The sequence below is a fragment of the Homo sapiens genome, chromosome 15 (assembly GCF_000001405.40).
Source record: "Homo sapiens chromosome 15, GRCh38.p14 Primary Assembly".
Classification (NCBI taxonomy): Eukaryota; Metazoa; Chordata; class Mammalia; order Primates; family Hominidae; genus Homo; species Homo sapiens.
Window position 1 is genome coordinate 46,719,870 of NC_000015.10, and position 14,947 is coordinate 46,734,816.

Consider the following 14,947-nt stretch of genomic DNA (forward strand, 5'->3'; position numbering starts at 1 on the left):
AATTTATTTGTTGATTTAGCTTTGTGATCATAGCTGAGAATCCATTCCATAATCCAAGCCCACAATAATCTACTCCTGTTTTATTTGAAGAGTTTTATAATTTAAGCTCTTAAGTTTAGTTCTCTAATGTGCTGTGAGTTAAATTCTGTATGTAGTTTGAGGTAGGGGTCCAACTTCATTCTTTTTCAATGTTTACTTTTCCTGGCATGATTTGTTGAAAACTATTCTCTCTCCACTGTATTATATAAGTACCTTTGTGGAAATCAAATGACCATAATGTCAGGGTTTACTTCAGAATTTTCAATTATATTCCAGTGATCTATATCTGTAAGCCAGTACTACACTATAGTGATTACTGTAGCTTTGTCATAAGTTTTGATATCAGGAAGTTTGAGTCCTCCAATTTTGAGAGCTGCTTTGGAGATTCTAGCTGGGAGTTCTGCTACTTGTATACCTTCAATGGAAGAATGGTTTTCCTCTATTGAGGAAGGTCGTCCTCTTTGACCAAGGCCTCAGCTTTGGGAGGGGCACACATGGAGTGGTGTGGGAGGAAGGGAACACCTACCTAACCAGCTCTGTCAGTTGAATTAACCTTGGCCATCAATTAGGTGACAGATGTCACATGCAGGTCACCCTCACATCTGAGTCATCCAACTTTGTTCTTTCCTTCTGAATTTTTTTTTTTTAACTATTCTAGGTCTCTTGCAGTTTCATATGAATTCAATATGTATTTGTCTACTTCTACAAACAAAGAAAAGCATTTGGCATCTTGATACGGATTGCAGTAATTCTCAACATCAATTTGGAGAGCATTACAATTCTAAAATATTTACTCTTCCAAGCCATGAATATGGCTTGTCTAATTATTTAGTTCTTTTTAAATTTCTTTCAGCAATGTTTTATAATTAACAATGCAAACTCTTGCAGTAGTTTGCTAAATATATTCCTAAATATTTATATTTTATTCTATTATAAATGAAATTATTTTATTAATATTATTTTTGAATCACTAAATTATTCCAGTTTTTGTCTCCTGTATTTGGGACTTTGCTGTTAGATGTGTATATATTTATAATTGTTACACCTATTTGATGAATTAAATATTTTACTATCATAAATTATTTTTTCAAGACAAAAATATTATCTAAATCTATTTTGTCTACATATAGCCAATCAAATTATCTGTGTACTGTTTACATGGTATGTCTTTTTTCTTCCTTTTTCTTTCTACCTATTTGTGTCTCTGAATCTAAAGCATTTCTCTTATAGACAATATGTATTTTAATTATAGGGTTTTATTTAATTCATTTTTCCAATCTGCTTTAAGAGTTTAGTCCATTTACATTAATTCAATTACTGTTACAATAGGATTTGTATCTTCCATCTTGCTACTTGTTTTCTGTGTGCCTTATTTCTTTCTTGATCCTCTATTCTTTCCTTACTGCCTTCTGTTGTGTCAAAGAGATATGCTCTTATAGATCATCTTAATTCTCTTGTTTTTTTCTTTTACTATTTGTTTTGAGGTATTTTCCAATTTATTGGCTGGTAGATTACAAGTAACAACTTTTCGTAAAACAGTACCAACTTAATTTCAATGGTATGTAGAAACTTTGACTATAGCTCTGTTCCTTCTTTTTTGTACTATCATTTTATGCAAATTAAATATTTACACATTAAAAGGCTGGATGGTTTATAACTGTTTTATAGCTATTGCTTAATGCACTTGTATTTTCAGTAAGGTAGGAGAAGAAATATGTTACAAAAATTAAATGTGTATTTACTTTTACCAGTGTTATTTCTTCTTGCGGGTTTGAATTATTAATAGCCCTTCATTTCAGCCTGAAAGATTTTATTATTTCTTATAGGGGAGGTCTGCTAATGACAAATTATCTTGCTTTTGCTTTTATCTATAAATGTCTTAATTTTAACTTTGTTTTGATGAATAGTTGTAACAGATGTACAATTATTGGTTGACAATCTTTCATCACTCAATGTATCAACCTACGAACTTCTCGAATCCATTTCTGATGAGAAGTGAGTTGCTAATTTTATTGGGAAAGACTGGCACAAAATTAGTTATTTTTATTTTGCTATTTCAAGGTACGTTCTTTGTCTCTGGCTTTTGGCATTTTCATTATGATGCATCTAGGTGTCAGTCTCTTTGAATTTATCTTTTGGAGTTCCTTGAGCTTCTTGGATATGCCTATTAAGATCTTCCCAAAAAGTTGTAAAGGTTTTGGTCATTATTTCTTCACAATTTTTTATGTCTCTCTCTTTTTCTCTTATTTTTTAACGTGCTTTATGTATATATAGTTACACTTGATGGGTCCCACAGGTCTGAAGTATTCACGTTTTTTTTTCTTCTTTTTTTTGTTTTTTAGACTAGATCATCTTAATTGACCTGTCTTCAAGCTCACTGATTTTTTTCCTGCCACTTCAAATCTGCTATTGAGCACATCTTATATTTTTTATTTCTATTATGGTAATTTTCAACTCTAGAATTTCTATTTAGCTCATTTATATAATTTTTAATCTATTAATTAATGTTTATATAGTGAGACATGGTTATCATACTTCCCTTTAATTTTTATGTAGGCTATTAGTTCTTTTAACTCACTTATAATATCTGCTTTGAAGTCATTGTTTGCTAAGCCCAAAATGTGAATCTTCTCAAAAGATGTTTTCATTCCTTGATTTTTTTCTGTTATAGGATATATACTACTAATATTTTTCTTCATGCCTCAAAATTATTTTTGAAATCTCAATTCTTTTGCTATTGTTTTCTGAATATAAACCACACTCCCCTAAAGATTGTGGTTATTGTGTGTTTGTTTAGTGACTTGGCTAGACTAGTTCCATGAAGTGCATTTCCCTTACAATGTGCAGCCTGAGATCACATATATCCTTTATTCAGTTTCTTGCAATGGTAACATCTTGCAAAACTATATTATAATATTACAACCAACATATTGATATTGATAATACAGTCAAGATGCAAATGTTCTCATTACCACAAGAATGTCTCATGTTGCCCCATTACTCCACACTCATTTTTCTCCCTTTTCCACTCCCACTCCCACTTTAGTCCCTGGCAACTATTAATCCATTCACCATTCCTAGAATTGTGCCACTTGAAAAATGTTATAAAAATTGAATTACACAGGGCATAATGCTTGAGATTGGCTTTTTTTTCACTTGGCGTAATTCCCTAGAGAATCATTCCACTTGTTGCATGTATTAAATAAGTGTGTTCCTTGTTATTACTGAGTAGTATTCCGTAGTTTGGATTTACTGCAAACAGTTTGTTTAACCAGACAGCTATTGAAGGATACATGGTATGATTTCAGTTTGCAGTTCTTACTAATAAAGCTGCTATAAACATTCATTACATGTTTAGGTGTGAACCTAAGTTTTCATTACTCTCAGATAAATGCCCAGGAATGTAATAGTTATGTCATACAGTAATTGCAGGTTTAACTGTATAAGAAACTGCCAAACTATTTCTAAGATTAGCTATACCATTTTACATTCACACCAGCAGTTTATGAATGATACATTTTCTCCAAATCCTTGACAGCATCTGGTGTTGTCACTATCTTTTTTTATTCTAATAATATGTAGTAGTATCTCATTGTGGTTTTTTAATTTGCATTTTCCTTATGACTAATGGTGCTGAACATCTATTTGCGTGCTCACTTGCCATCTGTATGTCTTCATCAGTAAAATATCTCTTCATATCTTTTGGCCATTTTCTAATTGGATTATTAGTTTTATTCCTATTGAGTTCTTAGAGTTTTTATACGTTTTAGATATTTCCAGGTATTCAGGTTGCAAATATTGCCTCCCAGCTTATGAGTTGTCTTTATTTCCCTCTTCACATGGTTTCACAGGGCACAAGTTTTTCATTGTTACAAAGTTCAAGTCATCAAATTTTAATTTTATGGGTCATAGTTTTGGTATTAAGAATTATTTGCCTAGCCTAGTCCTGAAGATTTACTGTTTTTTTATTATATCCTTATATTTTACACTTATAGACTATATAAGTATATAAGTGTATTTTACACTTAATAGACTCAAAAGTCTATTATCCTTTTGAGTTAAATTTTTATATAAAGTGTAAGGATTATGTTGAGGTTTATTTTATTTGGGCAGGGGATGGGGGTGCCTATTGATGTCTAATGCTCTGATATCATTTGTTGAAAAGTCTATCCTTGTTCCATTGAATTGATTTTTTCATCTCTTTCAAAAATCAGCTGGGCTTATTTGTTTGGATCTATTTCTAGGTTCTCTAATCAGCTCTGTTTATCTTTCTCTGTCTCTTTGCCAATATCACACTCTTAATTGCTGTAACTATATAATAAGCCTTTAATATAGATGAATGTGATTCTTTTCACTTTATTATTCAATTGTGAAGATTGTTTTAGCTATTCTAAAGACTTTTCATAAAGATTTCAGAAGGAGTTTTTTATAGGAACTGTATTACATGTACAGATCAAGTTGAGATATTTTCAAAATCTGTTATCTCTCTTACTTAGATTGGAGATGATTTCTATTGATTTATCCTCAGGTTCACTGATTATTTTTTTCCTCTGCTACCTTTACTCGGCTATTGAGCCCCTCTAGCTAATTCTTTGTTTTAGTTATTTTACTCTTCCACTCTCAAATTTCCATCGTTCCTTTTCATATTTTCTACATACTTATTGAGATTCTTTATTGATTACTTATTATTACCTTCTTATAATTCTTGTAACATGATTTCCTTCAGTTCTAGCTGCTTAGAAGTTTTTGTCTGTCAAATTTAACATCTGGACATACTCAGATACGGTTTTTATGGTCTTTTTTCTCCCCATACTATAGATCATATTTTCCTGATATTTTCCCTGTCTCATATTTTTCATTTAAAATTGAACATTTTAGGTAACATATTATAGCAACTATGGATTCTGATTCCCCAACCCCTCAAAGACTATTGTTGCTTTTTCTTGTTTTTGCTTAATTGCTTACATGAAATAAATCTGTGAAAATCTGTATATCCTACATTCTGTGATCTCTGATATTTCTGCTCAGCTTATTTCCTAGTTTTTACTTTTAAAGCCTCCTAAGACCTAAAAGTCTTCCTAAGCATTTTCTCCATGTCCATGTCATTTAATGTTCAGCCAATAAATGGACAAAAATTCTTCTTAAATGCCTTGAACCAGTAAGGCTTCTCTGCTAATGGAGCTGTCTTTAGGCAAAGGTGTGCATTTAAACTTCAGCTTATCTTGAAATGTGCTCCGAGTTTTACTTGAAGCTGGGCTTTTGTGAGCCTCTTATCACATGTCTTCAGTTTCAGTATTGGATAGGGGTGTGTTTGAATAGCTTGGTCTTTTATTTCTGGGCTGTGCATGCATATCCCAACCACTCCCACAATCTCAGCCTAATAGATCTGAACCATTGGCTCCTCTGAATTTACCTGACTCTACTGATAGACACTTTCACTGATAATTTCACAGAACATGAGCATTGTCCACTGCTCTAAATCAGGTCAGTTCTTTGAAGGCAGAAGAGATCTGCCACACTCATCACCTGCTCGACCCTGGGTGAACCTCTGTACCAAACAGCCAGAAATGGGAAGCAATCAAAGGCCAGAACATTATAGTGTTCCATTCTTCTCTACTGAAATTCAACAGTTGTTAAAGCATAAACACTTTTTATATTATTGATTCCTTTCATTTATTTCTCTTGAGCACTAAAATGATTGTTCTCGTTGATGTCGCCCAAGTTTGCTTTTGTGGAAAAGCAATTTTCTGATCTCCTTGCCAGGCTATAATCCAAGGCTATTGTTAAGCTTTGTTAGGGTGAGCCAGTGGTTCCTTTAGTCTAGAGCTAATCTAGTCCAACTATTCATGCAGTATCTTTTCTTTTTATTGAGATAATTTATGTACTATAAAATTTACTCTTTAAGGTACACAATTCTGTGGTTTTTATTCACAAGCATATACAACCACCACTACTGTCTCATTCAATAAAATTTTCACCCTCCCAAAAAGAAACTGAATACCCCATATCATGAAGTATTCCACACATCTTTTTATTCCTAGCCTCAGGCAACTATTTACCTATTTTCTGTCTAAGCAGATTTGACTGCTTTGGATATTACATGTAATAAGCACAGAATATGTGGGCTTTTATTTCTGGCTTCTTTCATATAGTATATGTTCAAGGTTCATCTGTATTGTAGCATATATTGGAATGTTATCCCTTTTTATGAATAATATTTCAACACATGTGTAAACCATATCTTGTTTATCCTTTCATCAGATGATGGACATATAGGCTGTTTCTACTTTTTGGTTGTTATGAATAATGCTGTTACATTAATATACAAGTGTTTATGTGAACTTATGTTTTCAGTTTTGGGGAGGTATATACCTGGAAGTGGAAAAGTTGAGTCATGAAAACTTTTCTGGGAGCTCCACCAAATGTCGCATATTTTATGAGGTCTTTCCATTCTGTCTGGTGCTAACATGAGCAATTGTTTACCCGTTCAAGCTTCAGAAATTGTTTGATTTCTTGCCTTTCATGTTTTTTTTCAGGACGTTGAGTAATTTTTTCCCATACATGTGCAAATATGTACTAAGCCAAAGATATGTGGGGACCCAGAAGGGGTAATTCTTATGGTTTTATTTTTCTTATAAGAGGTACTTATGATTTTTTCTTTGTAAACATTTATTCCTTGAATTAACACACCACCACTATCAACACTGTCACTCACTGATGCACTAAAAATTGGGTAATAATTTCATTATCTGATTTAATGATATTTCATGAATATTTGTGTGGCTTACATTTACTTCAATATTTAACATTAGAAGTGCTGTGGGTCTTTATTTAGAAGCTTGTTGGTGTGCTTTTGATCGGAAATATGCCATGGGAAGTTAACTCTTGTTTATGTCAATTAACATATGGTAAAATTATTTTCATTACACACTGTTTTATTACCATGAAAAATTCTGAGAACTTTTCAACAATTTAAAGTGATTTACTCTCTCTATATATTTACAATTGTTATGTTCTCTTGCTGAACTGACACTTTATAATGTCCCTCTTTGTCTTTTTTTAAAACAGTTTTTGACTTAAAGTCATTTTGTTGGAAATAAGCATAGCTAACCTTGATGTCTTTTGGTTTTTATTTCCATAAAATATCTTTTTCCATTTCTTCACTTTCAGTTTGTGTCTTGTTAAAAGTGAGGTGAGTTTCTTGTAGGCAGCATTTAATTGAGTCTTATTTTCGTTTATCCATTCAGTACTTCTGTGTTTTATATTGGATAATTTAATCCATTTACATTCAAGGTAATTATTTATAGGTAAAGACTACTGCCATATTGTTAGTTGTTTTTTGGTTGTTTTGTAGATATTTTGCTCCTTGTTTTCTCTTGTGTTTCTTCCTTTGTGGTTTGATGGATTTTTGTAGTAATATGCTTTGAATCTTTTATCTTTTTTTGTGCTTTTACTACAGATTTTTGCTTTATAGTTACAATGTGGCTTATATAGAACATCTTACAATAGTCTATTTCCAGCTGATAACATATGAACTTTCATAGAATACAAAAACTCGACATTTTTACACCAGCCTTCTCCATGTTTTATGTTTTGGTTTCAGAATTTATATCATGTTGTACTGTGTATCCCTTGACAATTTATTTTAGATATAGTTGTTATTAATAATTTTCTCTTTAAACCTCTCATTAGGGATAAAATTGTCTTAGTCACCATCATTACAGTCCTAGAGTATTCTGGGTGTGCATTTGTTTAACTTATATCATTGATTTTTCACTTTCATATGTTTCATGTTATTAATTCACAATTTTTGTTTCAGTTTGGATAACTCCCTTTAGCAATTCCTGTAAGGCAGGTTTAGTGTTAATTAATTCTATTAGCTTTTATTTGTCTAAGAAAGTTTCTATTTTTTTCTCATTTCCAAAAGGCTGATTTATTGGATAAAGTATTTTTAGTTGTCAAGATTTTTTTCTTTTTTGCTAAGAACTCCGCTGATAGTTGTATTGATTTTTCTTTATAGATAATGTGTTTCTTATCTGCTCTTCTCAGAATTTTTTGTTTTTGATTTTTGATATTTTGATTATTATGTGTCTTGGTGAACTCCTCTTTAGGTTGAATTTGATTGGAAACCTGCTTCCTGTCCACAGCTGTTGGCATCTTTCCCCAAATTAGAGAAGTTTTCAGTCATTATTTCTTTAAATATGCTTTCTAGACCTTTTCTATTTCTTCTTCTAAAACTACTATTATGTGAAAGTTTAGTTTCTTGAGGTTGTCTTATAATTCCTATAGGGTTTCTTTATTCTTTTTTATTCTTTTGTCTTTTTGTTCCCCTGAATGGATAATTTCAAATATTCTGCCTTCCAGCTTCTGCTTGATTAAGTCTGCTACTGAAGCTTTCTGTTGAATTTTTCAGTTCAGTTACTGCATTCTTCATCTCTAGGATTTCTATCTGGTTCTTTTTTATAGTTTCTACTTTTTTGTCAAACTTCTTGCTTTGTTCATGTATTGTTTTCCAAATTCTATTAACATATGATACATATATCTTTGTAGTTCACTCGACTTCTTTTTGAGTATTATTCTGACTTATTCATCAGTCATTTCATAGATTTCCATTTCTTTGGGTTCTATTATTGAAGCTTTATTTCTTTTGGGGGTGTCATGTTCCCTTATTCTTTGTAATCTTTGTATCCTTGCATTGTTTATGCATTTTAGGACTTGTGGCCTTTACTGGTGTCTTTTGGACAGGGATAGATCTTCACTATTTAATTTAGCCTGTGATTTGGGAAGAGACAGCTGGTGACAACCCCAAGCAGGCACAGCTTGTTGTGAGTCCTCTAGTTGCCTGGGCTGCTGCCTTTGCTTTGATGTTGGGTAGAACTGCTAACTGGGCTTCAGTGTCTGGTGAGACCACTGGCTGTGTTCTGCTGTAAGGCAGAGTAGCTGACTCAGTACTGTGATGACTTCTGTTCAGGCCAGTGAAAGGATGTATTGCCTGGCCAGGCAATTCTACTATTTGGGATCTACAGCTGGGCAGGTCTGCAAGCTGGACTCCAAAGCTGGGCAGAGTTACTGCTTGGGACAGGAAGAACCAGATATTATCCTCCCAGGGAATGCATAATTGGAAATTGTCTCCCTATCAGGGTAGAGCTGTGGGGTGAGCTTTTGGTTGAGTTGATTGGCTGTTTGAATTCCTAAGTAAAGCAGGCTTAGACCCTACATTTTTTTTCAAAGTGCACAGAGGTGGGAATGTCCCTGCCTGGGAGTGGTTGTTGGGAGGGCTTTTTGGCTGAATGGATCCTCTGCTTGACTTCCTTGTCAAGCCTGTCTAGCCCCCACTACTTCTCTGAAATGATTGAAAGTAAGTGTCTCCCTGCCTGCAGGGTCACTGCATAGGCTTTTTGGCTAAGTGAATCTCCTGCTTGACTTGGAAAGTCAAGTAGGTCTAGCCCCTATGCTTTTCTGAAATGAGTGGAGGCAAGCATCCTCCTAAATGTGAGGTGTTGTTGGGGTGGGGTCTTAGACTGTACATGGAGACAAGCAGTCTTGGGACTCAAGCTAGGTTGAACTCCCCATCGTGTTTCTGAAGGCAACCAGCTCAGCTTTGCAAGCGGGCCATGAGGCTGGCTGGTAAATATGATCATGTGCTGCCATTGGCAGAAACAGAGAGGTACCACCAAGATCTATGCACTGGTTACTATTACCTCTGTGTCCTTTCTTTGTTTCTACTTGTTGCCAAGCAGTCTAGCCATGCCATTTTCCCTACAATTCCCCATGTGGTGAGATCAGACTTGGAGTCCAAGGAAGTGTCTTGTAGTGCCAAGGAAGCTGCATGACTACCTCTGGTTCTCTTTTTCCCCTGTAGGGAAAACCATGGGCCCAAGAAAATCCTCCTGTCTGGTGTTGTGCCAACTTGGGGGAGGAGGAGGGGTGGCATTATATGAGTGAGACCATTCTTTTTACCCTGTTAATTTTAATTTCCTTCAGTTCTGTAGACCACACAAGTTCTCAGGCCTGTTTCCAAGTACTGAAGTTTTCAGAAGGATGTTCTGGTCTGTTTATAGTTGGTGGTTGAACTTTCTGTTGGTGGGGAAAGTGAAGCCTGAGACTTTATATTCTGCCATCTTTCTGATGTCATCCTGTGACTCGCTCAGAAGCATCAGTTTCTAAAGAGATAGTGTTTTAACTCATAATATAAATTAAAATACACTCTGGTTCGTCAGGCTTACCAGTCTAACGTTACTCTTGTGGTCTTATCAATGTACTTGCAATTTAGAAACTTGCTTAAGAACACATTATGAGCATTTTATAAGATATTCCTCATAAAAATATGAAAACAATGATAGAATAATATTTGTTGGTCAATTAGGTGAATTAGAAGAAATTTTGGGGTGGCAACTAAAATAGGCAAATTTGATTTTTCCTTTTCAAGATATAAAATGTTAGTTCTTTCTGAATCACACTATCCTCATCTATAAAATGAAAAACAGACATTATATAAGATTATAAAGGCTCAATGTTCTAAAAATTGTTCTGAAGGCATAAATTTACATTTTTACTATTTGAATTAGGTTAGTAATATACCCAAATATGATCGTATCAAGCAATTACCATAGCACCAAATGTACAAATACACTTAGCCACTCTCCCCTACCAAAAGCCTAGAACTTTAAATCTAAACTGAGCAATTATTAAAGGGCACAACTTACATAGGATTCAACTAATACTGTTACTTAGTTGATTCTGATGTGATCAATTTTTGGCAGCATTCAAAGTTTTGGAAGCTGCAGGTACAGAGTTCTCATTTACATCCCTGGAGGAATCCTTTCATTTCTGTGTTGCTTAGTCACTAAATCTTTAATTTTATGTACCTTATATTAGTGTTCTTTGTCTTACAAAAAATTCTTATTAATTATTTTACATGTTGTGCTTCTACTCTCTTTAATTCAAATAAAAATTGCTGAAGTCTAGTCTTGAAGTTCACGAGTATTTTTAGCTGTCATGCAAAATTAATGAAATAGTTTTGTCTTCACCTCAGAATGTCAATATTTACATATCTTAAGCAGCAGAAATTTCCATGAATACTACAAATAAAAGACTGAAGGAGGGTTCAGACTCTGAGATCAATCTAAACCAGAAAAGTTAAAAAATAATTATAATGTTTAGTTGGGCATCCAAGACTACAAAACACTTGTCTAGTTTTTTTGCTAGTCCTGTTGTTGCCAAATAATTCTACTACTTCTGCTTTTAGTAACTGTCATAACCTATCCCTGATGCTATAATAAAATACCTTAGGCTGAGTAACTTATAAAGAGCAGACGTTTTATTTCTTACAGTTCTGGAGACTGGGAAGTGCAAGATCAAGGCACCAGCAGATTTCACATCAGGTGAGGCTTGCTCTCTGCTTCCAATATGCATCCCCATATGGCAGAAGGCTCAAACACTGTGTGCTCATATGGCAAAAGGAACATAAGGGCAAAAAGGGCAAAAAGAACTAACAGATTCCCTCATGCCTTTTTACAATGATACTAATTCAATTCATAAGGGCAAAGTCCTCACAACCTAATAACCACCTAAAGGCCCCACCTCTTAATACTATTGCATTAAGTTTCAATATGAATTTTGGAGAGACACATTCAAACCATAGCTTAATTTAGTTTATTTAGTCTTTCAAATCACTGACATAAAGGTAAACTACTATAAGCTCGTGATTTTTAAGCTTGTTTCCCAAACTATAAAAATTATGTTGCCATTACTTAAGATTTATGAAGCTCCTAATTGATCGTGTGCCTCTAGAATAACCAATTTACAGATACTTGGATTAATGAGTACATATCCAACAATTTCAACAATTTCATCGTTTTTCTTCTGTTTTAATCATTTGCTGTACTCCTTTTGTCTTTTTTTCAGGGTATGAGTATGTGTATTTGGTAGTTTTCTTAGTTACAATACAAATACTTGCCACAATGGGTATGAACTATAAAGTGAGATCTGTGACTAGCTTATTAATTGTTTGTGTATTTCTTCATAGAATGTTGTAAAAATTGAATGGATTTGAAAGCCAGAGAATTTCTGATTCAAGTCTTAGTTCTACCCTTTCCAAGCTGCATGATTTGAATAAGTGACTTATTTCTGAGCTTGCTCCTTTATGTAAAAAACAGGGACCAAAATATGTGTACCACAAAGTGTTACGGAGGGTGAAAATTTATGATAGGTACTATGATTATTATAGAAGCAGACAAGGATGAAGTGTCAATAAGTAGTAGTTATGAAAATTGTGAACATCTGGAAATGGTACAACACTCTTTCAATAGAACATGTGTTGTGGTTTTTGGTTCACTGAATCTGGTCATGACACTGATAAGTCTTGCTTCAGCAGCCCTCTAGAGATCTGGAATAGCACACCATTAACAGAATAAGTGAAGAGTCATGTTGGCAGGGTCTTTACACACATATGATACCACTTCACAGGACTTTATATTCCACCTGCTTCTTTCACATCCACTGTAATATGCAGAGATATGGTGTGATTCATAGGGGAGCACCACAGTTCTGGTTAAGACAATCATTTAATAACAAACAACTTGATAATCCCTTTCTCCTGCCTAGAACCCCATATGAATTATTATGGAATTGAAAAAAAATGGAGAAAACATTGAAGACCCAAAAACGTAGTCCTTAAAAAGCAGCTCCATGAAATATTGGTAGAACCCAACTGACAAGGCTTCGTTTTACAGGGAAAGGATAGCAAAAAATAAAAAATAAAAAAGCTTGAAAGCATAATTCATCACTTAGAAGCACTTTGAGAGCTAGAGATTTGTACTATTTGAGAGTACATCTTCATCTATGAAGTCCCTAATTTAAAGGAGTCACTATTCCAAACGAAAAGCTATCACCTTTTGAGGCAACTGTGATTTCCTTGCCATGTGAGCACCACTGCCAGGTAGATATCCAGACACAGCCATAGCACAACTCAGTTCAGGATTTACATCACACAGAAGGATGTCAGCCAACACCCAGCCCAGATACAGTGGTATCTTCCAATAGAAAAAATTAAATCTTATAATCCCAAGAGATCTGATTATTAGCAACCCAAAAGATTATGTTCAGGCTATCAAACACCCTTAAGTTGTTGTACTCTAAGCTGTGTATATAAATATGCACCTGTCAAATACTTTAATACTTGAGAATAACCTATGATAAGAAGTGAAATAGTATTGACCTCAAGCATATCTCCCAGGGTCCTGGCTGAATGAATCCCATAAACCATTAATCTTGGAAAACCAAGGGTCTTTCTCATTATATTTCTGTACTGACTTTTCCTCTTGGCCTGGGACATTAATCTAAACACAGTAGGAAGTACTGAGAATTGCATGGAATTTATATTAAGCTACAAGAGGAAGTCTAGGGCAATTCTATCACCTATTACAAGCCCAACCAATGGGCTGCCCTCAATGCCTCCCGGGGCCAAGGAAAGAAACAATCACTGTATTTTCTGGAGGGAATTGCTCCTTGGATTCTTTACAAAAATGTAAAACCTCAAGGGCACATGTGTTCCCCCTGGAAAGAAAATGTTGTTTATAATTCTCCCAAGTGGTTTCTATGTCAGTTGAGAGATGTACAAGTTGATAGCATCTCCAATATGGTGTCCCAACTGACTGGTAGGCCTTAGGGTTCCCAATTCAGTTCAAATAATTGAGGCTAGGTTTTGTTTTGGGAGGGACTTCCTGACAGCAGCTGGTTTAGTCTGTGCTGTTTTCATCACACCACCAGTTGGGTGACATTTGTTTGCTCATACAATTGCTGAGTTTAAAGATGCAAAAAACATCCAGAGGTGATCTGCATGACAAAGAAACTGAAGCCATTTCTGCTGTTTCTGATAGCCTTCTCAGTAAAGTTAAGGAAAACGGTAATCAACTCATGATCAGAGCTATCTGCTGAGGAACAGTAGACACAGCAATCAGTTATATTTAAGATACTTGCTACAATTTGAAAGCATGTCAGCAGGGCATTTTCCTTGGGGAGGAAAGCTTCAGAGGTAGCTCTGAAAGACAAAAGATCATCAATGCCAGCAACAACTTGGCATCATGGGTGTTGGGGAGAGGAGGTTGAGCCTCTTAGATCACTGGAAATATAAAGGAGGGAAGGACATTGAAGATCTTTTGTCTTTCAGAACTACCCCTGAAGCTTTCTTCCTCCAACACCAAAAATTAATCAGTATGTTATATTCTGATAATTTTTATTAATTTTACAATCCCCTTCTACTTGCACCTTTTGTCCAGAATGGTAACTAGGAATGAAAACAGGGATAAAAGGACAAATTGTTAGAAGATCCTAAGTATAAATATGTTATCAATTAAAAATATATGCCATTATTCAGTGACATTGGAAAATGTTAAGAATGTAAAATTAATAGAAAAGAAAAAGATCAAAAACACTTGTTTAATTGAATCCTAGTTTAGAAAAAAATTCAAAGACATAAGCAAAAGACTTGAAAATGTAGAAAGATTTAATGATAATAAGATAATGGGTTAATTTTATTTTGTAGCTTTTAAGTCCTGCATTTTTATTCTTTTAACATCAGTGTATATATGCTTTATATGTGTTTTCCCAGGGGGAAAAAAAACAAAAATGCCATTTAAAAAAATCAGATTAGCTCAATGGAAAGTCCTATAACATCCCACAAACAATATGAAAATGAATATATTTTAAGCCCCTTTCCAACTGCATCTATCTTTAATTTAAACACAGTTTTCTCTTCCTTTTATTAAAAAAAATTACGCCAAAATTTTGTGATATCATGTCCCTTGAAAGGCACCTGACAAGATAAGCTTAGATATACAGGAAATTAACTGAAGGAAACACCAGTTGAAAGATGAAGATGAAGGGCAGGAGTAGGCGGGGAAACTTT

General features: G+C 34.2%; 1 pseudogene, besides 1 other annotated feature; it reads right to left on the reverse strand.

Annotated features, from left to right (window-relative positions):
• RN7SKP101 (RN7SK pseudogene 101) lies at positions 324-643 on the reverse strand (annotated as a pseudogene).
• Positions 13,603-14,192: an enhancer, noted in NCBI's record as "OCT4-NANOG hESC enhancer chr15:47025670-47026259 (GRCh37/hg19 assembly coordinates)". NCBI's record gives its function as "activates a minimal SCP1, AML or CMV promoter by ChIP-STARR-seq in naive H9 embryonic stem cells {active_cell/tissue: H9 hESC(naive)}" and the evidence as "EXISTENCE:reporter gene assay evidence [ECO:0000049][PMID:30033119]".